The sequence below is a fragment of the Homo sapiens genome, chromosome 12 (assembly GCF_000001405.40).
Source record: "Homo sapiens chromosome 12, GRCh38.p14 Primary Assembly".
NCBI lineage: Eukaryota > Metazoa > Chordata > Mammalia > Primates > Hominidae > Homo > Homo sapiens.
In genome coordinates, this window is record NC_000012.12 from 49,949,998 (window position 1) to 49,977,178 (window position 27,181).

At 57.3% G+C, this 27,181-nt stretch overlaps 3 protein-coding genes and 2 long non-coding RNA genes across 10 annotated transcripts, besides 3 other annotated features; 3 read left to right on the plus strand and 2 right to left on the minus strand.

Annotated features, from left to right (window-relative positions):
- On the plus strand, window positions 740-8,881 carry AQP2 (aquaporin 2). Its single transcript, NM_000486.6, has 4 exons — window positions 740-1,193; window positions 4,158-4,322; window positions 4,633-4,713; window positions 5,402-8,881. Exons 1-4 carry the CDS (start codon window positions 834-836, stop codon window positions 5,609-5,611), a joined length of 816 nt encoding a protein of 271 aa, NP_000477.1. The 5' UTR covers window positions 740-833; the 3' UTR covers window positions 5,612-8,881.
- AQP5-AS1 (AQP5 and AQP2 antisense RNA 2) lies at window positions 1,515-12,927 on the minus strand. Of its 3 annotated transcripts, none has more exons than NR_110591.1 (3): window positions 12,670-12,786; window positions 1,922-2,091; window positions 1,515-1,672 (listed from the first exon to the last, which is right to left on the minus strand). It is a non-coding gene; the product is annotated as an AQP5 and AQP2 antisense RNA 2 (long non-coding RNA). The 3 variants fall into 3 exon arrangements; NR_110590.1 differs by lacking the exon at window positions 1,515-1,672 and adding an exon at window positions 4,137-4,351 and having other exon boundaries at window positions 1,970-2,091; window positions 12,670-12,925; NR_110589.1 differs by lacking the exons at window positions 1,515-1,672; window positions 1,922-2,091 and adding an exon at window positions 9,455-9,647 and having other exon boundaries at window positions 12,670-12,927.
- AQP5 (aquaporin 5) lies at window positions 11,875-15,685 on the plus strand. 2 transcript variants are annotated; one of them, XM_005268838.3, is made up of 5 exons: window positions 11,875-12,383; window positions 13,495-13,659; window positions 14,095-14,178; window positions 14,629-14,708; window positions 14,995-15,685. In XM_005268838.3, the coding sequence occupies exons 1-4, from the start codon at window positions 12,021-12,023 to the stop codon at window positions 14,683-14,685; spliced, it is 669 nt and encodes a 222-aa protein (XP_005268895.1). In that variant the 5' UTR covers window positions 11,875-12,020; the 3' UTR covers window positions 14,686-14,708; window positions 14,995-15,685. The 2 variants fall into 2 exon arrangements, with proteins under 2 accessions (XP_005268895.1, NP_001642.1); NM_001651.4 differs by lacking the exon at window positions 14,629-14,708.
- On the minus strand, window positions 14,505-25,508 carry LOC105369764 (uncharacterized). Of its 3 annotated transcripts, none has more exons than XR_001749143.2 (3): window positions 25,301-25,508; window positions 15,686-15,808; window positions 14,505-14,922 (listed from the first exon to the last, which is right to left on the minus strand). It is a non-coding gene; the product is annotated as an uncharacterized LOC105369764 (long non-coding RNA). The 3 variants fall into 3 exon arrangements; XR_944953.3 differs by lacking the exon at window positions 25,301-25,508 and adding an exon at window positions 17,105-17,169; XR_007063303.1 differs by lacking the exon at window positions 25,301-25,508 and having other exon boundaries at window positions 15,686-16,063.
- Window positions 16,633-17,256: an enhancer, noted in NCBI's record as "H3K4me1 hESC enhancer chr12:50360413-50361036 (GRCh37/hg19 assembly coordinates)". NCBI's record gives its function as "activates a minimal SCP1, AML or CMV promoter by ChIP-STARR-seq in primed H9 embryonic stem cells {active_cell/tissue: H9 hESC(primed)}" and the evidence as "EXISTENCE:reporter gene assay evidence [ECO:0000049][PMID:30033119]".
- Window positions 16,633-17,323: a biological region, named in NCBI's record as "Sharpr-MPRA regulatory region 13914".
- Window positions 17,029-17,323: an enhancer, noted in NCBI's record as "tiled region #13914; K562 Activating non-DNase unmatched - State 1:Tss". NCBI's record gives its function as "activates a minimal TATA promoter and a strong SV40 promoter by Sharpr-MPRA in K562 cells {active_cell/tissue: K562}" and the evidence as "EXISTENCE:reporter gene assay evidence [ECO:0000049][PMID:27701403]".
- Window positions 22,950-27,142, plus strand: AQP6 (aquaporin 6). Its single transcript, NM_001652.4, has 4 exons — window positions 22,950-23,578; window positions 24,327-24,485; window positions 24,749-24,829; window positions 25,468-27,142. Exons 1-4 carry the CDS (start codon window positions 23,177-23,179, stop codon window positions 25,672-25,674), a joined length of 849 nt encoding a protein of 282 aa, NP_001643.2. The 5' UTR covers window positions 22,950-23,176; the 3' UTR covers window positions 25,675-27,142.
- Window positions 27,143-27,181: the final 39 nt, after the last annotated feature.

The window sequence follows — 27,181 nt, forward strand, 5'->3', positions numbered from 1 at the left end:
GAGAAAGACAAGAAAGGTTAAGTCACATAGATGGAACAGGCTGATGCCAGAATGGACACCCTCAGCTTCCTCAGCCGCCCCAGGTTGACTCCATCACCAAGGGCCAGGGTCCCAGTGCCCCCAGGCTCTAGGAGCTGCTGTTTGGCTGGGGCTCCCAGGAGAAGGTGAAGCTTAATGATTTATGGGTGATTAGCTGCAAGAATGCAAGCACAGAAGACACAAACCTTTATGCCTTGGAAATTTGTCACAAGCCAACCAGTTGTTTTCCATCCCTGTGAAGCAGGAATAATTGGAGGTCTGACAGAAGAACTTCCCAGTTACCAGAAGGAGCAGCACTCATGTTCTCTCTTAGTTTTGTGTGAGGTGTTGCCCCTGCCTTGGTCAACAGTTTGAGTCAGAGAGATGGGGGCCGGGCACAATCCCCACCAGACGTTCCCATTCACAAGACCCTGTGGGGGCTGGGAGACGCCCTGGGGCAGCAGCCCTGGGGTAACCAAGGGAACAAACACGGAAAACCAGGGACGTCAGTCCTTATCTGGAGCTCATTAAATGGGGAACATTAGTCAGCTGTGAAGGCCAAGATAGGGTGATAGGCCTGTGGGTGGGCTGGGATGGGGCATGGGGGCAGAGGCCGCCATGGAGGAGAAGAGGTATTGGCCTCAACGACTCCACCTCCCCGCCACGTGCCCAGATCCGGGATGGAAGGACCCTATAAATGCCCACAACCCAGCCTCCCCAGAGGCCTTGAGAAAGAGAGCGATAGAGTGCGAGAGCGAGTGCCCGGAGCATCCTGGCCCTGAGACAGCTGGGCCAGCCCCGCAGGGCTCTGCAGCATGTGGGAGCTCCGCTCCATAGCCTTCTCCAGGGCTGTGTTCGCAGAGTTCCTGGCCACACTCCTCTTCGTCTTCTTTGGCCTCGGCTCTGCCCTCAACTGGCCACAGGCCCTGCCCTCTGTGCTACAGATTGCCATGGCGTTTGGCTTGGGTATTGGCACCCTGGTACAGGCTCTGGGCCACATAAGCGGGGCCCACATCAACCCTGCCGTGACTGTGGCCTGCCTGGTGGGCTGCCACGTCTCCGTTCTCCGAGCCGCCTTCTACGTGGCTGCCCAGCTGCTGGGGGCTGTGGCCGGAGCCGCTCTGCTCCATGAGATCACGCCAGCAGACATCCGCGGGGACCTGGCTGTCAATGCTGTGAGTAGCCACAACTTTGCCATCCACAAGGGGCAGGTCCTGGGGAATCCCTTGTAAAGGATGAGATGGGAGGGATGGGCTCTGGGTGATGTAGGGAGAGAGATGGAGACAGAGGCAGAGAGAGAGGCTGGAGCCAGGAACACAGCCACCATAGGAGGGTCAGGATGAAAGGAGCAATGATACCAGAGCAAAGCAGGATGCAGACAGACTGCTGGCTTCTTCCACCCTGACCGTCGTGCAGGAAGAGCCTCATCCAGGTTTCTGTTGGACTCAACGCCTACATTACAGTGAAGACAGGGCTATACCTCAGCAGGGGTTGGTGTCCCGAGCAGACATGCTTTCCAAGCTGCGGGGAGCCTTGGAGTGATCATCACAGGGTTCTCAAGAGAGAAGAGGGGCCCAGCATTTCTTCTGCTTTGAGGGTTTGCAGGTCCCGTGGCAGGTGCTCCTTACAGGCCAGGCACGGACACACCACAGCCCTGCAAGCAGCAATGGGCATACTCACTTCTCCAAACCTTGAGGAGGTCCCCGGAGCCCATAAGCTGGCTGCTGATTACATGATACAGGCGCTAACTGGGCCCCGTGGGCCCTTTGGGAGCTGAGGGTGGTGCCACAGTCCCTTCCCCCATGTCCCACCCACTTCCCCTCTCAAGTCTGTGTGGGCCCTGTGAATCCAAGGCCCATGAATGTGGAGGAATGACCTGTGCCCCCAACAGATCAACACTCACTCTGTACCCCCATCCTAAGCCAGGACAGTGAGTGCCTCTTTTGTGCTTGTTTCCGGTAGTTCCCGGCCTTTTCCATCCTTGAGCCACTGGACAAGAGTCCTGATGTCTTTGATGAGTCCCGCACAATCTCTGTGGGCGCCCCCTTCTCTGCACAAGTGGCCCTTCCTCATCTGTGGGACAGAGGTATCCCAATTAGGGAACTTCTCTGCTTTGTTTTGTTTTGTTTTTGAGATGGAGTCTCACTCTATTGCCCAGGCTGGAGTGCAATGGTACAATCTCAACTCACTGCAACCTCCACCTCAGGCCATTCTCTTGCCTCAGCCTCCCATGGGATTACACGCCTGTAATCCCAGCTAATTTTTGTATTTTTAGTAGAGACAGGACTCGCCACGTTGGTAAGGCTGGTTTCAAACTCCTAACCTCAAGTGATCCACCCGCCTCAGCCTCCCAAAGTGCTGGAATTACAGGCATGAGCCACCACACCCAGCCTCTGTTCTTTAAAGAGGAAAATATGACAAGGCTGGGGGCCAGGGGCCAAGGAAAGGCTAGGTGGGCAAGCAGAGGAGTGGGCTCATTTCCTCTGAGAACAAAATTAGTTCAGTTTGCAGCAAGAAGAGGTCCAGTTAGACTGAAAAAGGAACTTCCTGAGAGCATGACCAGGAAGTCCTTCTCTAATAGCAGGGCACTGGGAGTGAAAGGCCATGGGAAACATGCAGTCCTCCTCCTCCATCATTTCACAACTGACTGGGGCCCTCAGAAGAGAAAGGTCTGGGAGGGCTCCTCCATGCCACTTCTCAGCATTTACCACCTTGAGGACCTGGGGAGAACCCTGCCTGGATGGAATGGGGCAGTGGTGGGACCAACTTGCTCTGAGGCTAAGGAGAGCCAGATGACCCTCAAGACAATCCCAAGTGTCCTTTGAGGACACTGAGAGCCAGCCTGGCCACCAGGAAGTTAATCATTGACATGCACCTGCCCTGTGCCAGGCCAGCTATCATCTCATCATTGGTACAACGCTATAAGGGAAATTCTGTGGTTCCCCCTATGGTGAGTGGCAAATTGAGGCTCAACAGCAATTGATCAAAGTCACAGAACCAATATGTCATTTCTAGTCCTCCCACAGTCCTCCAGAATCCATTTTCTTATCCCATTTCACAGAAGGAGAAACTGAGGCCAAATTAAGTAGTCCCATGGCAAGTCAGAGGCCTCCAAAGTGTCTGCTTCCAAAGCTCTTTTCACTGTCCTCTAGAGACTCTGCATTGGACAACAATAGGAGGGATTGAGGTTAGACCCTAGAGAGACCCAAGGGTTCTGACCTGATGTCTCGGACCCAGGGGTGGGGGTTCAGGGCCTGGAGAAAGAGCGTGGGAGCTGAGAGCTGTCACTGTTCCACCCAGTGCAGTGCCCAGCCCCAGAAGGCAGGGTGTAGGGTACAGGGTGACAAAACCCAAGGAGAAATCCAGTGCTGGGTGCGGCCCAGTTATGAAATCACCTCTTTACTCAGCCCCGAGTTCTCTCCTTACCCAAGGCAGGGTCTGCTGAGACCATGGGCAGCCTACATGGGTGTGGAGGCATTGTCCAACACAGCTCCAGGGCCCTTACCCCAACCTCCATAGGATGTGCAGGGAGCAAACTAACAGGGCAAACCTGAGGCCTGAAAGGCAGTGGGGAATAGACAAGGGTTAGGGAAAGAGGTAGATTCCGGACTCATAGCGGAAAGGGGCACACTAGGACTGTCCCCCAGACCCAAGTCCCTAGACCCTGTCTCTGGGAGCCATTTAACCTCAGGAAGAAAGACCACAGGCCTCTCATTGCACCAAGGTCTGATGGTCTACAGACAGAGGAAGGTCTTCCTGCTAACCGGCCCAAAGCTTCCTGAGGCAGTTGAAACCTCTTCCCTTCTTGTTCTTTGGGAAACAGAAATTCCGGATCTCAGCATTCTTTTCCTCTCATACTGCAGGCTCCCAGCCTCAGGCCCCAATCTAATGGGCTACAGAGTCAGTTTTGCTACCTCTGGCGGGGGGACCATGGGCATCCTGGGGGATCAGGGGCTGCCTTTGGGCCAGGGCCCAGGAAGAAGGGATCAGTCGTTGCAGCTAAGGCGTCTGGCAAGCCCAGGTGTTCCGGCTCCCAGCCCAGAGGCCCCCTGGTGCCTCGACTGCAGGTGGACAGGAAGATGGAGCCAGAGAGGAAAGTGGGCTCAGTGTTCCCCTACCCGCCTCTTCTCTGTCCCCAGCTCAGCAACAGCACGACGGCTGGCCAGGCGGTGACTGTGGAGCTCTTCCTGACACTGCAGCTGGTGCTCTGCATCTTCGCCTCCACCGATGAGCGCCGCGGAGAGAACCCGGGCACCCCTGCTCTCTCCATAGGCTTCTCTGTGGCCCTGGGCCACCTCCTTGGGGTAGGTCATGGCCATGGGTTCCAGCCTCCCTGGAGGAACAGACACACAGACCACTCCAGAGACAGACACAGAGACCCCAAGAGGGACACATACACAGAACTCTCAAGAGGAACAGACACCCCAGAGGTTTGACTCCTAGATACCCCAGAGGGACAGATATCACTCCAGCCCATCTGTAAATAAAACGTGATGTTAATTGTCCATCACGTGGGTTCCCTTTAGGCTGAGGTCAAGCACTGCAGTGCGGGACAAGGACTTCCTGCCCTGTCCTCACCTCCCTTCTCTCTTTGATGCCCTCCTCCCACTGCAGATCCATTACACCGGCTGCTCTATGAATCCTGCCCGCTCCCTGGCTCCAGCTGTCGTCACTGGCAAATTTGATGACCACTGGGTAATGGCTGAAACCCCCTGCCCTCCCCTTCTCTAGAAACCCATTTTAGAGGGAGAACAAGAGCTGGAATAGCATGGGATGGGGGCTCAGCAGCGGTACCCCAAACCCTCCACACTCCTCCTGGTCCTGGGGAGCCTTGGGTTCCACCCCTCAGATCTGATGCCAAAGACTCAGTTTCCACGTCTGTGAATGAGGATGACAACAGCTTACCTCACTGGCTTCTTGGGAACAGTAAGTGAGGTTACCGGTGTAACCCAGATAATGCAGTGTCTGGCACTTAGAACTCTATAAGTGGTAGTATTTAGCACTTATCTGGTGCTTAGTATGTGGTGAGCCTTGTTCTGAGTGCTTTGCAAACATTAACTCAGTTTTCACAACCACCCCAGGAGGTAGACATTCTTAGAGTGAAAGGCACAGAGAGGGTAAGTAACTTGTTGAAGTGCACACAGCACTTAAGTGGTGGAATCAGGACACACACAGGCAGTGGCTTCAGAATTCGCACCCTTAACCCCGCACTGACAAGGCTTCCCCAGCAGCTGGCGTTGTCGTTGTAATTACATAAATAAGCATTTTACTAGATTAATGTCGGGGAGGAGAGGTGCGGCCGCAGAGTGTGCCGCCGGGGCCTGCGGGCTCCGCGTGCCGGTGCCGGCGCGGGTGCCAAGCCGCCCTCTCCGCTCGCCCCCAGGTCTTCTGGATCGGACCCCTGGTGGGCGCCATCCTGGGCTCCCTCCTCTACAACTACGTGCTGTTTCCGCCAGCCAAGAGCCTGTCGGAGCGCCTGGCAGTGCTGAAGGGCCTGGAGCCGGACACCGATTGGGAGGAGCGCGAGGTGCGACGGCGGCAGTCGGTGGAGCTGCACTCGCCGCAGAGCCTGCCACGGGGTACCAAGGCCTGAGGGCCGCCAGCGGCCTCTACGGCCCCGACGGACGCTTGTGAGGCCCGAGGCAGAAGGGCCCACCCCGTCCCTCCTCTCCCGCAGGTCTGAAGTTGGCCCCCCAGCGCAGAGTAGCTGCTTCCTGGACGTGCGCGCCCAGGCCAGTGCTGTGAGCAGGCGGGGAGGAGGCTGCCGGAGGGAGCCCTGAGCCTGGCAGGTCCCCTGCCCTGAGGCTGTGAGCAGCTAGTGGTGGCTTCTCCAGCCTTTTTCAGGGAACTGGGAACTTAGGGGACTGAGCTGGGGAGGGAGGCAGGTGGGTGGTAAGAGGGAAACTCTGGAGAGCCTGCACCCAGGTACTGAGTGGGGAGTGTACAGACCCCTGCCTTGGGGGTTCCGGGAATGATGCAACTGGTTTTACTAGTGTGCAAGTGTGTTCATCCCCAAGTTCTCTTTTGTCCTCACATGCAGAGTTGTGCATGCCCCTGAGTGTGAACAGGTTTGCCTACGTTGGTGCAAGTGTGCATGGCTGGGGACTTCTCACTTCCCCTTGCACCCCTTCCTCCCCAACCTGCAATAAATCCGCTTCTCCTGCAGTGGATGAGTGTGGGTGCCAGTCCTCCTCAGGAGAAGGGGAAGGGAAGGAGGCCACTTTGAGAGGGCTGAAGGGAGGGCCTTGATTTCCAGCCGCAATCTGGCTCCTCCTGGAAAATTTCCCCCACCTGCAGCGCTGGGCCCCAAGGCTTGCCAAGACTCATTGCTGGAGGTAGAGAGGTGTCAACCAGAGAACAGCTCCCCTAGACATGGCCTCTGGAAAAAGGAAATCTTTGGTGGCCAAAGATTTCCTTTCTGTGGTGAGGGAGAACCTCTCCAAAGAGGAAGCAGGCATATGAGTGCGCACGCCTTCACGTGTGTGTATGCTGTGTGTGCCCGGGACCCCCGTCTCCAGGGGTGCCCCAGACCCAGAGATTAGCCTCCCACTTCGGCGCAGAAAACAAAAGCCCTTTGTGGGACCCGGGCCTTTGTCTTGGGTGAGGGGAGATTTGCACCTAGACACTTCTTGAAAGGAGACACTCAGTTTCACAAGTGAGCCCTCTTGCCCAGCACACACCTATGGCTGGCTGGGCAAGGCGCTCAGGCATGCAACCATGGGCACCAGGCAATACCCATCCATCACCCATCTCACTCTCCCCAGTCCTCAGGCAGCAGCTTTTCCACCCCAGGAATCTCTGTTCCTTCTCTGTCTGCCTCTCCACAGCCCGTGATCCCCTGCTTCTGGCTCCTACCACTGGACAGTCATTGTGGATAGAGCAGCCTGCTGCTCTCAGGACCAGAGAAGGGAAATGACTTCTCCAGGCAGAGGCAGATCTGAGTCTAGAACCCAGGCTTCTAAATTTCTAGGCCAGTACTACTGCTCTCAAAAGAGATTAACTGGGATTAAGTGAGATGACGCATGTAAAGATGCTGTGTAAACTGTAATTCTTAATACCATTATCACGCATTACTAGAATCATTTCATTATTTCTGCTTCCTGGGGGAAGGATGCAGAAGGAGTCTGATGCTCAACATCCCTTACCTCCTTTCGTTGATGGCCAAAGCAAAGGAGAGTCCTGGGAGCCCACAAGATCCAGGCAGAAGGAGATGGGTTTGGGGCTGGCCCCATCCTGGCCCAGCCTCTTAACCTCTTCTTACCCTGAATGTGTGCCCTATCTTTTCTCCCACCTCCTTCCTCCTACCACCCAGCCCTATCCATTCTCTCCTTCCCTCTCCAGCCTGCTGTATAAGTAACATGTGGGTCATACCTTGAACCCCCCTCCGCCCCCATGCTCTCTGTGGCCTCCATGCCTTCAAGACTTCTGTCTGTATCTATCTCACACTGCACCAAGCACCCACTGTGCACCAGGCACTAAGTCTCTAGCCTCTTTCTCCCTTCTGCTCCCATCCAAGAAAGACAGTGTATAAGGAACATCTCTGTAATTGTGTCCCCTCTCATCTATGCTCTTTCCTGTCTTCCTTGACCAAAGCTCTCTTTGAGGTCCAAAAAAGGCTGCCCTGGGCCATATGTGCTATGGAGAGGACTCTCCCAAACCCCCAATAGCTAGTGACAGCCACTTGGCCTCACTACCAGAAGAAGGGTGGAGTCAGAAACCAAAGTGACCTCCAGAGCTGTCCTCCTGGCACCTGAGTGTCCTTGCTCTAGAGGTTCAAAGGCAGCAAGGCAGTGAGCTATGAGCCCAGCATGGATGTGTCTCAGGCACCTCATCCCCACCCCACCTCACCCCAACAAACTCCTCTAGAAGAAGCCAAGAATTTCTCTCTATGTCTGTTTCACTTTTTGGATTGCATCTCCCCAAAAACTAAATGTGAAATCCCTACCATTTCTAGCCTCTATTGCCCAGATTGGAGTCAGAGGTCAAAAAAGGATTCCAAGTGATGGAACTCCAGGGGTGGAGGGAAATTGGCAGTTCCTGGCATCTCTTGTGTACCAGCTGCTGTGCTGGGTGCCTTGCATGCACGGACTTATCTGATCTTCCTCAAACTTCAGATAGGTTAGGGAAGGACAAAGGCCCCCAGCCATGAAGGGTTTTGCTATTTCCAAAGCTTCCCCTTATCGTCCCCTGTGATTATCTCCCAACCCCGTGACAAAGGTAGAGCAAATATTGTTCTTCCCATTTTACAGATTCAGAAACCAAGGCTAAGGGACTGGTCTAAAGTCTCACAGGTAGTATATGGTGGAGCCAACACTTGAACTCAGACCTTTTTACACAAAATCCCATGATTTTTCCACTGAGACAAATCCTAGGCTCCTGGGAGGCCCTGGCAGAAGCCAGAACACATGGCTGGGCCTTTCCAGCCCAACCCACTGTCTTGCAGTGGACGGAGAGCCTTGGCGAGGGCAGCAGGGTAGAGAGGACAAAGAATGTGGGGCTGGTTTCTGCCCTTTAAGAGCACCCGGTCAGTCAGAGAACAGAGATCACACACACCAAACCAGACAGAGGCAGGGCAGCATGGAGACAGGTAGACAGACCTCCAGGTCCCTAAGCTGGGGACAGAGAAGGTTCTGAGCTGTCCCATACTCCCACTTTGTGCCAAATGACTTTGCACCTGCAAATGGTGCTTCAATGTCGTTTTGTATCTTTAAGCTGTGATGTTGTATATATACAATGCCTCCCAGCTAGACTGTAAGCCCTTTGGGGACAAGGGCTGCTTCCAGTTCTTGGATGGCGTTCTCCTATCTACCTTCCTTCAACTGCTCTGCATATAATAAGCACTCAATAAATGCTCATTTGCCAATAAGTACTGTTTCTTCCACAACTTGGCAGTGGTAATAGAAATACAGCCCAAGGTACCAGAAGACAGGCGGAGCTCCCTACCACTTCTACCCCAGCCCTCAACTTCTCCCAGGGAACTCAGAAGTCCCCATATCAGGAGAGGAGGGGAAGGGCTCTCCCTAAGACATTCAAATTCCCCCTGCCACAAATGGGGAGACCCATCACTCAGCTCACAAAGGTCCCGGGCATTCCTCTGGAGCTGCCAGGGCAGGGCCTGAGTGCTTGGGCAAAGAGAATTCCGAGACATAATGGGAGTTTACTGTGATGACTTGAGGACAGAGGGACTCTAGTGGTTAGAGAGATGGAAGAGCCTAAGACACAGGCCCTAGGAAACAGAATCAGCTGCCCTGTGTGAGTAACCTTGACAGATGAAATCTCCTTCTTTGGCCTCACCAGGCCCACTCCTGATGACCAAGTCTATGTGGCGACCTGTGGTTCCCATCTCAGGTCACTGTGTGACCCTAGGCAAGTGACCTCTGAGTCTGGGTTTCTTCATGGGTAGCTTGGAATCAAATCACACAGTGGAGGCCAATTATAATCTCTAACTTTGTAGATTATATTCTGAATCTCTAAAATGGCAAGAACAAGGTCTTGGCCTTTATAGTCCCTCATTAGTTCAAATCTTCAGGTCGGAGCTTCCCCTGGCAGCCAAGCCTCTTGTGAGCACTTGTGAATCCTTTCATTCTGAGATGCTGGAGTTTGAGACCTGTGGACTATGAAGACAGTGCCTGGGGAGAGAGGATGAGAAAGCAAGTGAAAGGGTGCGAACTGGAGGCAAGTTCAGCAGCAAAGGAGCCTGGCCCCCAATGGCCTCTGGGGTCATCAGGGTCATTGTCCAGCCCAAGTCCCAGGCCCAGAAGAAAATCCTGCGTACAACTGGCATGTACAGCTGGCATGATTGGCTGGGGACAAAGCGCTGGGACCCATGGAAGAAAGGACAGACTGACCTCCGGCCTTAAGAGGAGAGACCTGGGGGAGGAGCTGCTCCAGCAGGAAATGCCAGAGCTGGGCAGGAACAATAGCGGGGTTTCTTTAGCCCTTGTTTTCTTTGGCATCTTAGCTGCCACAGAGCCCAGAGCCCGCTCCTCCAAGTCCTTAGCATTCCTGCAGGCTCCTCCCCTCAGCCCTGCCTGACAAACTGACAGAGGAGGCACCTGTTCTCTACTTCCTCTGCACCCTCCCGCTGGACTCTTCCCCCTAGCTTAGCACCACACTAAACCCTCAAGGGGCTTTTAAAATTAACAGTCACAACGTAAGGAGACTTTACTGAGCCTTACTCTGTGCCAGGCACTGTGCTAAGGGCTTCTCTAACACACATGGGGATGGGAGTCTTTAATGCAGCTCCTCTCCCGGGATCCTGGGGGTGGGTCCTCCCCCTCTAAGCCCTAGAGAGCCCTCCAGCCTCGTTCTCCACATGCCCGACCTGGAGTGGGTGGGAAGAGGGAGAGGGTGGTGTGCGAGGAGGCAGCAGGTCACAAAGGGGTTACAAGCTCAGAGGGAAGGGGGATGGGAACTGGAAGAAAGTGTCACCCAGACCAGGGGTAGAAGAACTTGACTTTGGGGAGACTGAGAAAGACCACATGTAAGAGAGAGAGACATGGAAAATGAGGTAGAAACAGACAGAAACAAAGAAAGGCACAAAAATTAAGAGGCAGAGGAAAGGTGAAAATAGCCAGGAGACAGAAACTGCAGGATGAGAGAAATGAATAGAGAGAGACAGAGAGACTAAGACAGCAAAAGGCAGGAAGGAAAAACAGAAAATGAGAAGGTGTGAGAGAGAGAGAGATGGAGAGGTGGAGAACAGAGAGACTGAAATGAGAAAGAGACCTCTCGGAGAGAGACCGAGAGGAAGAGGCTGGCAGAGGGAGAGGGTCAGAGACCAAAGACAGAGACAAAAAGAGAAATAGGGTTTTGCAAAGACTGACTGACAGAAACAGATTTCGAGGGGAGAGAGATCAAGACCAAGTGAGGGTTTGAAGGAGACTTAGGGGAGGTGGAGGAAGAGAAGGAGAGTCTTAGATCCAGGGTGAGGGGCTTCTAGCAGGAAGAGGGAAGACGCCAAGACCGCGCTTGGGAGGTCAGTGGTGCGTCTCTACCCCCCCTGCTCCCCCACTCCAACTCCCAGAGTCTCAAGGCCTCACGTCACACCCCCGTCCCGTCCCGTCGACAAGGGGAACCCCGGCCTGGGAGAGGGCGCCTCCGGGGATCCGTTGCCTAGTCCAGGTACTGCCCAGCTACCGGGCGTCGAGGATTGCGAAGCGTCGGGGCAGGCTGGCACGGTGCCCACTTTTCCCAAAACGCCAGCCTTCCAAGCCCAGAAGCTCGCCCGGCCCAGGCCGGGAGCGGCCCACGTCGGACGGCCGGACCGCCCTGCAGGACCCAGCCCGGCCGCCCGCCCCCGCCGCCGGCGGTGAGGGAGGTGAGCGGCGCCGACCTGCGGGACGAGCATCACTCCGACCCAGCCGGGGGTGAGGCGGGTCAGGATGCTCCGGTCGCAGGAGGAAAAGGAGGAGCTGGACCAAAAGCCCGAAGAGAAGAAAAGGGGAAGGCCGCGCACGGAGCGCGGTAAAGGCCGGCGGAGCTAGACGCCCCGAGGTCGGAGTGAAGCGCCGGGACCGAGCCCCGTCTCCCAGGGAGTCCGGGGCGCACGGCACCGAGGAGAGCGCGGGAGCCAACCTGGGCGCATCATGCGCAGGGCCCGGGACGCTGGGCCGGTCTACACCGCCGCCTGGGTCACGTGGCCCGGACGGGCCGGCGGCTGCCCCGGCCGGGGGGCGGGGGTCGCGCCGGGGTTGCGCTGGACGACGGAGAGCGGCGGGCCCGCAGCGGCCTGGAGCCTCCCAACCCGCGCGCCGCGCTGGCCCCCGAGCGTAGGAGCCGCCCCCTGCCCCCCCGCGCCGGCCCCGCGCCCGGCCGCCCGCCCCCTATATAGCGCGCCCCAGCAGGGCCCGCGCCAGGCCGCCAGCCTCGGAGTGGGCGCGGGACAGTGCGCGGCGCCCCGCAGCCAGGCCCCCGCCCCCGCCGCATCCACCTCCTCCGCCGCCTGCGACCCAACGGGCGCCCCCCGCCGCGGCAGCTGCCGCCGGGCCCCCGCGGCCACCATGAAGAAGGAGGTGTGCTCCGTGGCCTTCCTCAAGGCCGTGTTCGCAGAGTTCTTGGCCACCCTCATCTTCGTCTTCTTTGGCCTGGGCTCGGCCCTCAAGTGGCCGTCGGCGCTGCCTACCATCCTGCAGATCGCGCTGGCGTTTGGCCTGGCCATAGGCACGCTGGCCCAGGCCCTGGGACCCGTGAGCGGCGGCCACATCAACCCCGCCATCACCCTGGCCCTCTTGGTGGGCAACCAGATCTCGCTGCTCCGGGCTTTCTTCTACGTGGCGGCCCAGCTGGTGGGCGCCATTGCCGGGGCTGGCATCCTCTACGGTGTGGCACCGCTCAATGCCCGGGGCAATCTGGCCGTCAACGCGGTGAGTGCCCTGGGGGGGGGGTGGGAGCCTCGACCCTGGGGTGGGCTCAGGACCAGGCCTCTTACCCCACCTGGAAAAAAGGGGTGCCGCAGAGTGGGCCAGCCCACACCCTTCACCAGGAAGGCAAGAGCCTCCCAAGGCCAGGAAGGCAACTCTCCAGGCTGATATGTGCTCCCTTCCTGCCCACCTCCTCTCCCCCTCCCCTCATGCTGGCCCACCCTGGTCTCTCTCCAATGCCTGCTACCCCTCCTCTCCTGCCAGAAACTTCTGCCTCCTCCTGTCTCACCTTTGAGCTCCACCTTCCTCCTGGGCCCCTCACCTCTCCCATCACCTCAGTGGAGCGGTTGAGTAGAACCACCAGAGAAAAGCGGGCTGTCATCACGGCTTTGGGTGACCCTGGCCTGTCTGTGCTTCATTGTTCTCAGCGCCTCCATGGGGATGGTTGTGTCTGCCACAGCAGGTGTCAAGGGGCTCACATTTAGAAACCGTAGATAGGAACCCCCTAATGTGGGGCCAGTGCAGAGCAGTTTCTGTTGAGTATTGGTTCCCTCTTTCCCCAACCTGTGCTCCTCCCCTCAACCCCGCACCCCTGCCTCCCTCCCACCTCCTGCAGCCCCAGAGTCAGCCCCCAACCCCATGCAAACTGGGTTCATTAATCAAACACAGAGGAGGATTTGCTTGGCCATTGTCAAGCTGTGAGTCAGCCGCACTGGAGAGACGGGTTTAAGGCTGGCACTGGCATGGGGCCAGGCACGGGCAGGAGGCCGGGATGGGGTGTGAGGCAGGCAAACCGGGCAGCTGCCCACAGGATGGAGGGTAAATGCCAGCTTATGGGGGCTGGGGGTTGGGCAGAGCCATTGATAGGCCCGTGTCCAGGAAAAGCTACCCTGACGCTCTGCCCTTTGGCCACAGGCCTGAGCTTCAAGCCTGTGCAAACTATGAAATGTACAGTGTCTTTAACAAATGGCTTCGCTGGGGCGATGTCCACAGGACTTGGCTTCCAGGTGCCAAGGTGCTCTAAGTGTCCCTGGAGGCCAAAAGCCCTACTCCCCGAGCCCCTGGCTATACAGCCAGAAGGTGGCCGGGGTCCTAACCCGCTATCCCCTTGCAGCTCAACAACAACACAACGCAGGGCCAGGCCATGGTGGTGGAGCTGATTCTGACCTTCCAGCTGGCACTCTGCATCTTCGCCTCCACTGACTCCCGCCGCACCAGCCCTGTGGGCTCCCCAGCCCTGTCCATTGGCCTGTCTGTCACCCTGGGCCACCTTGTCGGAGTGAGCAGTACCGACATTGGGCTGGGGTGAGGGTGGGGCAGGCACTCAAGGCAAATAATGGAGCCCTGGAGCGGAGCCCACTTCAGATGGATGAGTCCAGCAGAGTTTAAGGCCTGGATTTAGGGCTCCTGGACTCTGGCCCTACTGGGCCCCAGAATTGATCCCCCCAAAACCTCTGGGCTGAGGAAAGATGGGAGTAAGTAGGAGGTGGGATGGGACAGGAATCAAACCCAACCTCAGAGCAGAGAAGAGAGGAGGGCGTAGTTAAGGGTCCATGGTTAACCAAGCAGCTGGGATCCTTGGAGGGAGAGGTTGCCAGCCTGAGTTTGAGACCTGGCTGAGCCCCTGGACTGCAGTGTAACCTTGAGAGAGTCCAGATTCTGTGGGAGTGGACCAGGATGTTGCCTTTCTCTCCACCGCCCTGTCTCTATCCAGATCTACTTCACTGGCTGCTCCATGAACCCAGCCCGCTCTTTTGGCCCTGCGGTGGTCATGAATCGGTTCAGCCCCGCTCACTGGGTGAGTCTGTCCCTTCCCCTGGCTCCCTGGAGATGAGGGCCTGGAGACCCAGCAGTGGCAGCTCAGAGCTCACCAGACCTGGATTCTGTGGGTCTAGAGCTTGGGGGTGGGCCACGGAGTGGTGGCTGACAGAGAAAGGGACACAGTAGGGGATGGGATTCAGCTAGAGGGGCAGAGGTGGCTTTGTATGGCCTGAACCGCTGGGGACAGGGAGTCTGAGTATCTATCCGCTTATGGAAGAGGCTCTACTGAACCTGGAGGTGCAGAGGGGCTCTGTGTCAATTCCCTTGAGGATTTGGTGTCCGTCCCCCTCGGTGTCTGCGTGCTGGTCCTCTCTGATGTTTTATTTATCTGTCCCTGTTGAGGGGGTTGGGAGAGTCTTCCTGTGGGTCTGTCCCTGTGGACAGTCTGTCTGCCCCCCCTTTGGAAGCTCATGGTCACTCTCTCCAGGGTCTGCTTCTATCCCTGCGTGGAGGGGACACGCGCTCTGTTCATCCGTCTCTCTGAGGACCCACGTGTCCCCTCTGAAGGTTTATTTGCTTCTCTTTCCGGTGTGGTTGGAGGGAGCCTGTCCCTCTGGGAATCTGTTTGCCTTCTTTGAGGGTCTAGGTGTCTGTGGTCCATGTCTCTGTCCCTGGGAGTGGTGTGTCAGTATATTCGTCCCCGAGGTGGGAGGAAGTCTTTCTCCCTGAAGGTCTGGAAGTCTGCATGTCTGTCTCCTCTCAGGGTCCGTGGGTCTGTCCTCTGTGGGGTGGGGGGCATGTGGTCTTCAAGGTCTGGGGCTCAGCGCCCTGACTCCTGCCCTGTCTCCACCAGGTTTTCTGGGTAGGGCCCATCGTGGGGGCGGTCCTGGCTGCCATCCTTTACTTCTACCTGCTCTTCCCCAACTCCCTGAGCCTGAGTGAGCGTGTGGCCATCATCAAAGGCACGTATGAGCCTGACGAGGACTGGGAGGAGCAGCGGGAAGAGCGGAAGAAGACCATGGAGCTGACCACCCGCTGACCAGTGTCAGGCAGGGGCCAGCCCCTCAGCCCCTGAGCCAAGGGGGAAAAGAAGAAAAAGTACCTAACACAAGCTTCCTTTTTGCACAACCGGTCCTCTTGGCTGAGGAGGAGGAGCTGGTCACCCTGGCTGCACAGTTAGAGAGGGGAGAAGGAACCCATGATGGGACTCCTGGGGTAGGGGCCAGGGGCTGGGGTCTGCTGGGGACAGGTCTCTCTGGGACAGACCTCAGAGATTGTGAATGCAGTGCCAAGCTCACAGGCTGCAAGGGCCAGGCCAGAAAAGGGCGGGCCTGCAGCCTGCACCCCCCACCTTCCCCAACCCTTCCTCAAGAGCTGAAGGGATCCCAGCCCCTAGGTGGGCAGAGGCAGACCCTCCCCAGAGCTCCTTAGGAAGAAGACAGACTGGTTCATTGAATGCCGCCTTATTTATTTCTGGTGAGGATGCATGCGTGGGGCTGCTGGTGTTTAGAGTGGGGGCTACCCAATAAATCACTGATACTCACGTTCCACCTCTGTCTCTCCTCAGAGTGCCTTGAGACACTCTGGCCCATTGCCTCTCCTCTTTGTCATCCCACATCCTCCACCACGATCTCCACAGGGTACCAGGGGACCCCAGGACAAGTGCTCTGTGGGAAGAAAGGGAGACTGTGACCATGGGAGGCCCAGAGAATCAGAGAGATGGGAACAGAGCAGGGAGAGACTGAGAGAAGACCGAATATCAAAATAGAGCTAGAGGCCAGGAAGGAGGGGTCCTCACTGCAGTCACCCTCCACCCCTCCCCCTCAGCCATGTCAATCAAGTCCCTGCCACTTGAGGAGGGCTTGGCTGGCACTTGAGGGGAGTACCAGGGTGTGACAGGCAGGGCGGAGGAGTGAGCCAACCGCAGCCCCTCGAGATGGCAAGGGGGTGACCAGCCAGGTTCCATCACAGCCCTGGGCTCGTTTCTCTGCACCTTGGTCTTTCAAAAAGGTGTCCTGCTGGGAGCCTGTGCCCAGAGGGAGCAGCCCCCCGACCCCCCCAGAAGCCACATGTGGCCCAGCCCCCTTTTCCAGGGCTTCTCATGCCTTGGCCCACCAGTGTCCCCACCGTCCTCTCCTCTGGGCCTGAGCTCTGTCCTAGCCTGCTCTTGTCCCACTGTCACTGACACTCCTTAGGTAACCTCCTTAAACTCTCAGAGCCTCCCTCTCTTCATCTGTAAAATGGGGATAAAATATCACTTTCCTCACAAGATAGTTGTGGGGACCAGATGAGGGCATGAGATGCCTGGGACCAGTCAGCTTTCTGTGAGGAAAAGGCGGGGGGTCATGCAGTGAACAGCTCCGCATAGCCCAGCTTCGCAGTGAGCCCAGCCTGGAGTCAGTAACTACCCTCATTCCAATCTGGCCGTGAAACTTGGGGCAACATAAGCTCTCTGAGCTTTAAGGACCTTATCTGCAAAACAGGGGTACTTTTCCCGACCTCATGTGCTATGTGCTGTCGTGAGGAGAAAATGAGACCACGCCTGGAGGTAAAACGCTTGTACAAATGGTCAGGCGCCTTGGAGTGAGTGCTCAGTATAGTCGTGTTAATAGAAACCCACACGTGCCTGCCTAGTCTGAGGCCCCAGCCACATGCTTCTGCCCTCCTGGGGGTGTCTGGACCTGAGCGCCTGTCCAGCGGGGCCAGGAGACGGACTGAGAAGGGGTAGGGGAAGCTGTAGTTCTTGGCCAGCGAGAGGCAGTCCCAGGGGCTGGGGTGAGGAGTGGCAGACCCCCCAGCCTTCTCCACACTTAGAGTCTAAGCATCTACAAGTGAGAGGTCAGCCACTCATGTCCGCCCCATAGGCTTACAGTAAACACCACGTGGCATTGCGTGTGAGAACCCCGGGAGCCCAGGGAAGGAGCAGCCCCCCACCCACCGTGTCCCTTCCCACTTCTTCCAACCTGCCCCGGGCTGGGGGAGCCGGGCTGCAAGTGCCAGCTCTGGCCAGCAGAGGGCGACGTCGTCCACCGAATCCACAGCGTGGCGCCTCGTCGTCCACAAGTCCTGGGTCTGGGCTCTAGCCAGATGGGGGTGGAGTGGAGGACACAGGGAGTCCCTCATGCTTGAGTCCCCTGGGGCCACCTTGAGGCAGCCTATCCCAATGCATCCCCGCCCCGCTATCCGGGTGGGGCGCAGAAGAGAGGGGAGCCCTTCTCCGCTCAGTCTCCAGGAGACTCAGGTACAGACACAGCCATGACCAGGAGGATGGGCTCTTCCTCCAGCCCAATGGGGGCCACGGCAGGGTGGACAGTGGACCCTTGGGAGACAAACCCGCGGGGGCAGGCAAGGCACTAAGTCAGAGGGGGCTACCGGCCCTGAGCTTCCTGCAGGTTGCCTCGCCTGGCCCTTGGGCAGGCTTCCAGCTAGGGCTTGGGGCTGACAAGCGCCGTGGTTGGGGCGGTGTGGCCAGCAGGGGTCGCTGTGTCTGCGTGTCGGATCTTGCAGGAGCGGCAGGTCTGCGGGCTCACAAAGTCCCGTGCACACGCGCGCACACACACTGACCCCACACAGTCCGGGGCTCGCGGCCACACACTGACCTCAGTCGTGCCCGAGGGCTGCATGTTCCGGGTGTGTGCGTCTCCTTTCCTCCGCACGTTCATTCGAATGTGCAGAGCCACATCAGCCCTCCTCCAGCATTCGCTCACAGGGCCACCGCCGGCCCCACCGCGGGCCCAGACCTATGAGCCTGGCTCCACGGGTTCTCAGAGGCACACCTGTGTGCTGTCCAACGCAAGCACACACAGTCCCCGTCACCTCTGCTGCACCTAAAGATGGAACCCAGGGAGAGTCTGGATTCTCCTGTGGGAGGCTCCCTTCCCCTTCCTCCCTCTCTTCCTCTCCCCAGGGCCTGCCAGTTCTCACCAGCTGGGAGGTGGACAAGGTGATATGGGGAGAGATGGAAGAGGACCGGGAGGAGAGGTGGAGAGCGGACAGAGGGGCTGGCTGTTGAGATGGGTGGACAGGAGGAAGGACATCTGGGAGGACCAGGTCTCTCCGCTCCTCTTGGCCTCATGTGTCTCCGTCATGTGTGGATGAGGACATCAGACCTCCCTACCTTTCCAGGTTTTGTGGGGATCACTGAGATGAGGCACGGGAAGCCATCTTGAATTCCCTCCCCATCAGTTTGTGTTCTCCCTCCTTTTCTCTCCCGGTACCTTCCTCCTTCCCCTCCCCTTCGCCCCCCTTACTTTCCCCAATCTCTAATAGGACTTCAGTCAGAGCTGCATTGACAGGCAGCCCTAGGCAGCCAGATAAGGAACCTCGGCAAAAGGTTTTTGAGCATGAATGAGCTTAAAGCTTGGCACTAGAGCCCAGTGCTGGCTGGGTTCGGGCACGTGCTGGCTAGGACAGGAAGCCAGGCCTGGAGCAAGCCCTGGTCAATGGCTACCTGGCCTCAGGAGGTGAAGGACCTTGTCCCAGGCTGGGCAGAGGTCAGGAGACTCAGCCCCGAGCTAGCTGGGGACAAGGGCTGCCACTGCACTTAGCACTTTCAGGCTCCAAGGCCCAGGGCAGGTGCTGAGGTGCCTGTCTTGGAGCCGCCATGCAGCCCCGTCCCCACAGCTGTCTAACGGCAGGGGGCAGGGAAGTTACAATCCTAATCATTCACATTTTCTGACTTGGAGGCCCTCTCCTAGGTATCAGCACATTTACTCCTAACTACACACAGGGAGGAGGGAATTATTAGCATCATCCCCACTGCATAAATGAGGATCTTGAGGTTAAGCAACTGCTTAGGGTGCAATACACATGGCAGTGTTCACAATCCTTTCAGTGGCCTCATCAGCAGCTCTCAACAGGTAAGCATTGCTGCCACGTGGCGCCCATTTAACAAGGGCAGAAACTGAGGCTAGGTCAGATGAAAGTGCCTGTCCACCAAGCCCTCTACTCGCCCTGCCTGAAGTGAGGGAAGCAGACAAGTGCCCTTGAGCTACCCTGGGACAGCCCCCAGCCAGGGAACCCCCCGTGCCAGGGAGGAACAGTGCCCACGCCGCCCCCACAGCCATGCCCAGTCATCCCTTGAGCATTTATTGAATGACCCCTCTATGCCAGCCAGGGATGGATGTCTGTGCTGGAACAGTGGAGGCATTGAGGAGGCAGAGGCCACAACCAGCCCCTGGCTTTGCTCAAGCCCTGCTTCTCTAAGAAGCTTGCCCTGATTCTGCTGGAGAGGGAAATGAGGGCAGGCTTCGCAGAAGAACAGCACTTGAGCAAAGTCTTGAGAGACAAAAAGGAGAGGCATCCAAACTCCACAGCAAAGGGCTCGTTCTGGGGAAATATGTCTGGCCTGTTTGGAGTAAAGGGTGCAGGGTGGGCAGTGGAAGGGGAGCCTTCCTTGCATGTTAAACATGGGTATTCAGACCTGATTCTGAGGCAATGGGGAGCCATTGAAAGCTTTAGAGCAGAGGAGTAACTTGATGAGCTTTGCATTTTGGAAGGATCTCTCTGACAGTGAGTGGAGAGGAGAGTGGTGTGGAAGGGCACAACATAGTCTGAGAGCCCAGGAAGGAGGTTAATGCAGTCATCCTGGAGAGGTGATAAGGGCTGCACTGGGCCAGTGGCAAGTGGGGATGGAAAGAGGTGTCAAATATGAGAAAGAGCTACCAGGAACCTGGTACAAGGAACCTATTTGCTATGGGCTGGGGGAAGGGGAAGCACCAGATGCTTCCTGTGTTCTGGCCTGGGCAACTGAGTGAGAGTAGGGTGAGGAGGAGCAAGCCGGAGGGTCCAGTGAGAGGTGAGTGGGTCTGGAGTTTAGGAGAAAGATCTGGGCCAGAGACAGTGTTGAGAGTCGACAGTATCTGCAGGGTGTGGAAGTCACAGGTGGGAACAGGGCTGCCCAGGCACACTCATCAGGAGTGAGGGGCCATGGGCCAGGAGTAGACAAGTCCTGGGCTTAAGGATCAGCAGAAGAGGAGCCAGCCATGGAGGCCACGTGGCAGAGTTGCCCTCACAGAGATGGGAGGACAGCCAGGAGATGTGCCTCAAAGGCAGGGAAAAAGAGGCGTCAGGAAGATGGCCGGCAGCCCATGTGCCACAGTGGGCTGGAGAGGAAATCATGCTGGCCTTTGCCAGAGCGGTTTCGGTAGCCGGGGGCTGGGGGCTGTTGTGCAGTGGATAGGTGGCTGGAACCTTGACTCCAAATCATGATCTTTCACTGCTCCGCGACTACGCAGGCACGTTTATAGGGAAGAAGTCAAGAGAAGGGGAAGCCTGAAAGCCACAGGTGAGACTGGGAAAGGCCAAGAGAGGGTCCCAGTCACTCAAAGGGAGCCAGAAGTCCAAGGAGGGTCCCCCGACCCCGACTTGTACACTGGAGAAGGGCTGCCCCTACTTCAAGGCCACAGGGCAGCTGCAGGTGAGTTTGGCTGGGAGGGAGGATGGGAAGAAGTCTTGCCTGGTAGCTTGGCTTTCTAGGTAGGGTGGGAGGCAAGGGTGGGTGCTCTGCTGAGAGAAAGCCAGAGTGAGTCGAATACTTGAAGAGAGTGGGGGAGGTTTAAAGAATGAGGGGAGAGCTGTGGAAGGATTGCTGAGCAGAGCTGCGATCCCTACTGGGGCCAGAGACCATGAACTTGTCATGGTAGCAGTCTGCACGACTGGGTGAGTTTCTCCAGCAGTGCTCAGCAGCGCAGATGGGGGGCAGAAAGGCGTGGAAGAGGATGAGAACAGAGACACGCAGCAGGGACGGGGTGGAGAGGACAGGGAGCCAGGACCACGGAGCGCTGGCAAGAGCCTGCTCAGGGTGAGATGCCCAGGAGTTCCCTGGAGAGGACATGGTGAAGTCGAGACAGCAGGGAGAACAGAAGGAAATGGGTGAGGGATGTTACTGGGACTCAGACAGGGACTGGGGAGGAACAGAGCCTGTAGTCCAGAGTTAAGATGTTTCTCTTGAAGATATCAGAGGGCTCAGTCCCAGTTGGGGGAAGGTATGAGTATGAGGCTGAAATGCAGCAGACATAGTCATCTGCCCCGGGAAGTCAAGAAGTTTTTATTCATTCATTCAACAAATATTTATTGGGCAGTTACTGTGCCAATCTCTGTGCAAGACACTACATGCAGGGGTGAACAAAACTTGGTTCCCGCCCCCCAAAGGCCTCCCCGCCTTGCCTCACTGGGGAGACACATTCACACCATGACAACACCCTGTGGTGACTGCAGTGTAGGAGAATGCCCAGGTGTGGTGGGAGCACGCAGAAGGGTCCCCACCCAGGAAAGGAGCAAGCGACGTCAAAGCTGAGCCTTTGGAATGGGAGTTACCCAAGCAAAGGGAGTGCAAGGGATCTCCAAGAAGAGGAGAGAGCTTTTTCCAAGGAGAGGCCAGCAAGAGTGTGCATTTGGTGAAACCAGAGGGTAACAGAGTGGGGAGAGGTGAGGGAGAGCTGCAGGGTCCCTGAAGGCAGGCACAGAGCTTCCAGAGGGATGGGAGGCTTGGAAGGGATTTTAGCAGGGGAGCAGCATGATCAGATTTGCATTTTAGCACTTGGGCTGCAGTATGGAAAATTGATTGAAACGGAGCAAGGGAGCAGACAGAGAGACTGGTGAAAGGCTGCAGGGCGGCAGGGGTGGCAAAAAGAGGGCACAGTCAGGAGATATTTAGGATTGAAAATCAGCAGGACTTGATGCTTTTCCTGGATGGGGGAAGGAGGGAGAAAAGGGTCAAGGATGCTTCCCAGATGCCACCAGCTGAGCTGCAGAAAACAAGAGGAGAACATGGGGGTTGGGGGGGGTACCAGGAGACAGGAGGATCACATCTGGAGACAGATTGCGTTTGAGGAGCCTGAGAACAACCAGGGGACATCTGTAGGCAGGTAGATATGCCAGGGATGAGGTCAGGACACCCAGCTACGGTGAAGAGGGGAAGACTGTTATTTCAATAGCTTGGCAGACTCTTCTTAGGGAGGAACACTTTTGTTTGAGAAGATACCTTGCTATCTGCTAGGGTTAAAAGGGGAAAGCCTAGGGCATGGGTGACCATAGGGCCAGGGAAAGCCTAGGGCATGGGTGACCATAGGGCCAGTGCAGCCACAAAAAATGGTTAAGCTGCCTTGTGTGAGAAAGGAGTGAAATCTGTTTGGCCCCTGAGAGGAGGAGAGCAGAGACGGAGGAGCCAAGAAGGGAGGGGAGCGCGGGGGAGGGCAGGGAGGCAGGAGGAAGTGAGTGAAGGGCCAGTGGAAATTTCCCCTGGTGGACAGCAGAGGTGCCCATGGCCTTGTGTGATCTGACGCGGTTTGAGTCGCTGTGGAATAAACCCCTTCTCCACCCGCCCCTCTGCAACCCCACAGGCCACAGTGTCCACAGCGTCCTTGGTAAAGTCGACTGTATTCACATCTGCATTCTGTGAGTGCGGGTATAGGTGGGAGTGGAGGAGGGAACTTACTTTCTGGGTTTACGGGCACGGTGTGGTGTCAGCCCATTTGGAAGCAAAGCCTAGATATGGAGGGGGCCAGACGAACAGGACCTGGGAATGCACAGGACCCCCTGAAGCAGGCCGGGGATCTGAGTGATCTTGCTGTATCTAAGCTGACATTGGAACATGAACAGTCTGAAATCCCATGAGCCCCGCTGCCCTGCACCTGCGACCCTCAGGCTAGACCTTGGACTGTCTACAACACGAGTCAGGCCCAACCCGCCCTGGAAATCATCGTAGGAGGTTCCAGCTCAGTGCCCAGAGACAGCCCCCACATCCCACCCCATCAGGTCAGCTCAGGCTGGAGCAGGCATATGAGCAACACCCCTCATTCCACCCCCATACACATGCATAAGCCCATCCGCCTGCGCCCTGCCAGTCTGACCAGCACAGTCCTGGGGACAGGAGCGTGGTGGAGGAGCTGCAGGTGGGGGCCAGAGAAGCCTCCACAGAGAGCAAAAGCCAGGGTCAGCCAGAGACAGGACACCAGAAGAGACAGGAGATCAGAGACCAGAGGAACAGAGAAGAGGCCCCAGAGCAAGGCAAGGAACGGCCAAGGCACCAGGACATGGATGCAGTGGAGCCAGGGGGACGTGGCTGGGCCAGCATGTTGGCGTGCAGGCTTTGGAAAGCCATCAGCAGGGCGCTGTTTGCAGAGTTCCTGGCCACGGGGCTGTATGTGTTCTTTGGCGTGGGCTCAGTCATGCGCTGGCCCACAGCACTTCCCTCCGTGCTACAGATTGCCATCACCTTCAACCTGGTCACCGCCATGGCTGTGCAGGTCACCTGGAAGGCCAGCGGGGCCCACGCCAACCCCGCCGTGACGCTGGCCTTCCTCGTAGGCTCCCACATCTCTCTGCCCCGTGCTGTGGCCTATGTGGCTGCCCAGCTGGTGGGGGCCACGGTGGGGGCTGCTCTGCTTTATGGGGTCATGCCGGGAGACATCCGAGAGACCCTTGGGATCAACGTGGTAGGTGCAGGGAGGGGCACCTGGAGGGCCAGGAGGCGGGAATGCGCACAAGTGGTGAAGGTGGAGGCCAGGACGGAGGCGAGGGAGCAAAGGAGGAAACAAGTCAGCTGCAGGCTCCACATCCTCCCGGGCTGGGCCCCAGGACCCAGAGGACTGAGACTTTGACCTCAGTCTAGGCAGAATAGAAATGGGATAGTGGCGCGAAGAACAGGTGGAGAAGGAAGAGGCCACATAAAGGAGAAGGAATAGAAGGACCAGGCGTTTAAGGGTAGATGCGGCCAAGGGAGTGCGGGGCCTGTGGGTAGAGAAGGGGACCCCACGGGGACTTCATTTTTCTCCCAGGCTCCACCCACGTCCTCTGCTCTCCGACTGTTCCCAAGTTCTTCCCTCCACCTCGAGGCCTGCCTCACTCGCCCCTTCTCCATTTCGTAACCATCTGTGTTCCACCTTCTTCCCCCAAATCTCCTCCTTCCACACCTGCTGCCAGTCTCCTCTCAAGCAAGCCTCCTGAACCACTGGCCCCAACCAACCCACTGGTGGGGTGGGAGGAGCACCACTCACTTCTGCAGGGAGCAAGGGTCCAGAGCAGATATGGACCCCTCTGCACAGGCCTCCCGAAGTCCTGAAGCTGGGCGGCAGTGAGGTGTCACCCCCCTCCAGCTGAGGAGACCAGGCCCAGTGGCAGGGGTTTCTCTGTCTGTCCGTGGGCAGAGCCCGCGTCTGGTCCAGAGTAACTCCCTCTGTCCAGGTCCGGAACAGTGTCTCAACTGGCCAGGCGGTGGCAGTGGAGCTGCTTCTGACCCTGCAGCTGGTGCTCTGTGTCTTCGCTTCCACCGACAGCCGTCAGACATCAGGCTCCCCGGCCACCATGATTGGGATCTCTGTGGCACTGGGCCACCTCATTGGGGTAAGGAACAGAGGGGACACCGTGCACATGCACACACCGGGTCCGTCCCCGGGGAAACTGTGGAGCCCTGAAGGCCAGGCAGTGTCCCTCCCTGAGCCCCTCGTGCCTTGGAGCCAAAGTGGTACCCCCTGCACTCTAGGCCCAGGATATGGCACTACAGAGGCCGTGGCTGGGGCTAAGGCTCTGAGCCAGGACTGAGAAATGGTCCCCTCTCAGGCCTGCCTTAAACCTTCTCCCACCCTGACCCTGCACTTGCTCCCCAGATCCACTTCACTGGCTGCTCCATGAATCCAGCCCGCTCCTTCGGCCCTGCCATCATCATTGGGAAGTTCACAGTCCACTGGGTGAGCCCCTCTGCTGGCAGCCCTGGGGAGGGAAGGGAGCCTGAGTTGCCTGTAGACGGTGGGTTTCACTTGCAGCTTCCCTAAGCTCAGAAGGCCAGGGTGAATGTCTTGGCTGAGACTTCCTTTCTTTTCGGCTTCAGTTGCCCAGGATACCCAGTGGACTGGCAAGAAATGGGCCAGGGCAGGAGCTGCAGCCTTGGCCCAGACTTTTAAGTCCTGGCTGTTTCCTTATTCACTTTCTCCAGCTGGACCAATTTTCAAACTTGGATAAAGAAAAAGACAAACAGAAATAGACACACACACCAGCAGAGACAGAAACAGCAATAGCCAGGACTCCTGGCTAAAACGGGGGAAGTGAGAGGAAAGAGGCGGGGGCGGGTGAGGAGACTGGCCCCAGGCCCCAGCCACGGCTGCAGAGCCTGGGCTCAGCCCCAGGGAGGGCAGGGAGAGCAAGGGGCAAGGTCCCCTTACCTTGTGGGCTTGGGAAACACGACTCGTGGTTCTCAAATTTAGCACCTTACAGACAGTTGAGGGAGACCTGGGAGATCAAGTCGGCACTGGGGAAGCAGGCAGCGGTCCCAGAGCCACCCTGTGGTCCTGATAGCTCCTGGGTGGGGTGACGACATCCTTCTCCTCAGGTCTTCTGGGTGGGGCCCCTGATGGGAGCCCTCCTGGCCTCACTGATCTACAACTTCGTCCTGTTCCCCGACACCAAGACCCTGGCGCAGCGGCTGGCTATCCTCACAGGCACCGTAGAGGTGGGGACAGGGGCAGGGGCAGGGGCGGAGCCCCTGAAGAAGGAATCCCAGCCGGGTTCGGGAGCCGTGGAGATGGAGAGTGTGTGAAACAGCCTACGCCTGGCCGCGCCCTTGGGCTTCCTGCCTTGCAGGACCTGCCTGGAGGTTCTCCCTGGGGGTGGCGGGAGGGGGAGGCTTGACCTTTTGTCCTGACCAGGTGGGCTGGAGGGGACAAGCCCTATCCCTGGCATTACGTTTCTAGGTAGAATCTGGGAGTGAATTTGTCCCATTCCCTCTCTGTAGGGCTTCCCCACCTCTCGGTGGGACAGAGCAGAGGAAGGCAGGGGATTTAGGATCGCCCTCCCATCCTCTCACCCACTGGACCCCGTAGGAGTCCTGACCCCAGATGCCCAAGTCTTGGGGGAGAAAGGAATGGGAGCCCAGACAGCCACTCTGCTTAGACATGGGAGCTATAGGGACCTCAGGGAGCCCCAGCTTCTTACCCACCCAGGAAACCCTTGGTCCAGAGAGGACAGGCTTTCTGGAGGAATCAGGCCCTGGGACAGCCTCTGAGCTCCTGGGGGTGTTTCTCTGACCTTGGGTGTGGTTTTGGGGGCTATATTTCCTCCTTCAGACTGGGGGCTTCCTGAGGACAGAGACTGCTCTACCAATAGATCTTTGTTTGTTTTGAGACAGAATCTTGATCTGTTACCCAGGCTGGAGTGCAGTGGCATGATCTCGGCTCACTGCAACCTCTACCTCCTGGGTTCAAGGGATTCTCCTGCCTCAGCCTCCCAAGTAGCTGGGATTACAGGCGCCTGCCACCACGCCCAGCTAATTTTTTGTATTTTTAGTAGAGATGGGGTTTCATCATATTGGTCAGGGTGGTCTCAAACTCCTGACCTGAGGCGATCTGCCCACCTCGGCCTCCCAAAGTGCTGGGATTACAGGCGTGAGCCACCGTGCCCGGCCTCTCCCAATAGGTCTTTATTCCTCAATCCTCCAAATGCTCTGGAGAGGCCCCCACCCTTGAGAAGAACTGACACAGAGAAGAACATTTTCTCAGGCTCGTAGAGAGGTGGGATAGAGGAAGGGAGGTTTGAGCCAGACAGGCCTTTCCCAGGGAAGCCTCCTCCCAGGTGCTTGCCCCAGCTCCCACCCCACAGCCCACTCTCAGGCAGGAACAATCCTCAGAGGGGAAGTGCCCATCTAGCCATTGACTCATGACCTGGGTCAAAGAAGCCGTCTCCAGGCTCTCTGTCAGCATTACAGGATCCCCAGAAAGCTGTTGAATAAGCCCTAAGGGTGGTAGGAACCCAGGAGGGACCCAGGAAACTAAGATTTGAGATTCAGTGCCTCTGAAAGACTACCAAAATCTAAGTTGGTTTAATAGTTAAAAGCTGCTGTAGATTTATTCTGCCCACAACTTGGGGGTCCTTTCTGGATCTCGGCTTCTCCAGCTGTAAAATGGACACACAATCCTCCTCCAGGGACTGCTGTGAAATCAAGAAATCGGAAAATACTTTCAGAAGTTAAAATGCTAGAAAAACAACCCCAATAAATGATGATTATTGTTGCTGTTACTGTAATTATTGGGTATGAAGACAATTGCTGT

Excerpts from the sequence above, each read along its gene's own strand:
- AQP2 (NM_000486.6), top strand. The coding sequence starts at position 834 with ATGTGGGAGCTCCGCTCCATAGCCTTCTCCAGGGCTGTGTTCGCAGAG. Across the intron at positions 1,194-4,157 it reads GGGACCTGGCTGTCAATGCT|CTCAGCAACAGCACGACGGC; the intron begins GTGAGTAGCCAC and ends CTCTGTCCCCAG. Across the intron at positions 4,714-5,401 it reads GCAAATTTGATGACCACTGG|GTCTTCTGGATCGGACCCCT; the intron begins GTAATGGCTGAA and ends GCTCGCCCCCAG.
- AQP5 (NM_001651.4), top strand. The coding sequence starts at position 12,021 with ATGAAGAAGGAGGTGTGCTCCGTGGCCTTCCTCAAGGCCGTGTTCGCA. Across the intron at positions 13,660-14,094 it reads CCCTGGGCCACCTTGTCGGA|ATCTACTTCACTGGCTGCTC; the intron begins GTGAGCAGTACC and ends GTCTCTATCCAG. Across the intron at positions 14,179-14,994 it reads GGTTCAGCCCCGCTCACTGG|GTTTTCTGGGTAGGGCCCAT; the intron begins GTGAGTCTGTCC and ends TGTCTCCACCAG.
- AQP6 (NM_001652.4), top strand. The coding sequence starts at position 23,177 with ATGGATGCAGTGGAGCCAGGGGGACGTGGCTGGGCCAGCATGTTGGCG. Across the intron at positions 23,579-24,326 it reads AGACCCTTGGGATCAACGTG|GTCCGGAACAGTGTCTCAAC; the intron begins GTAGGTGCAGGG and ends CCCTCTGTCCAG. Across the intron at positions 24,486-24,748 it reads CACTGGGCCACCTCATTGGG|ATCCACTTCACTGGCTGCTC; the intron begins GTAAGGAACAGA and ends CTTGCTCCCCAG.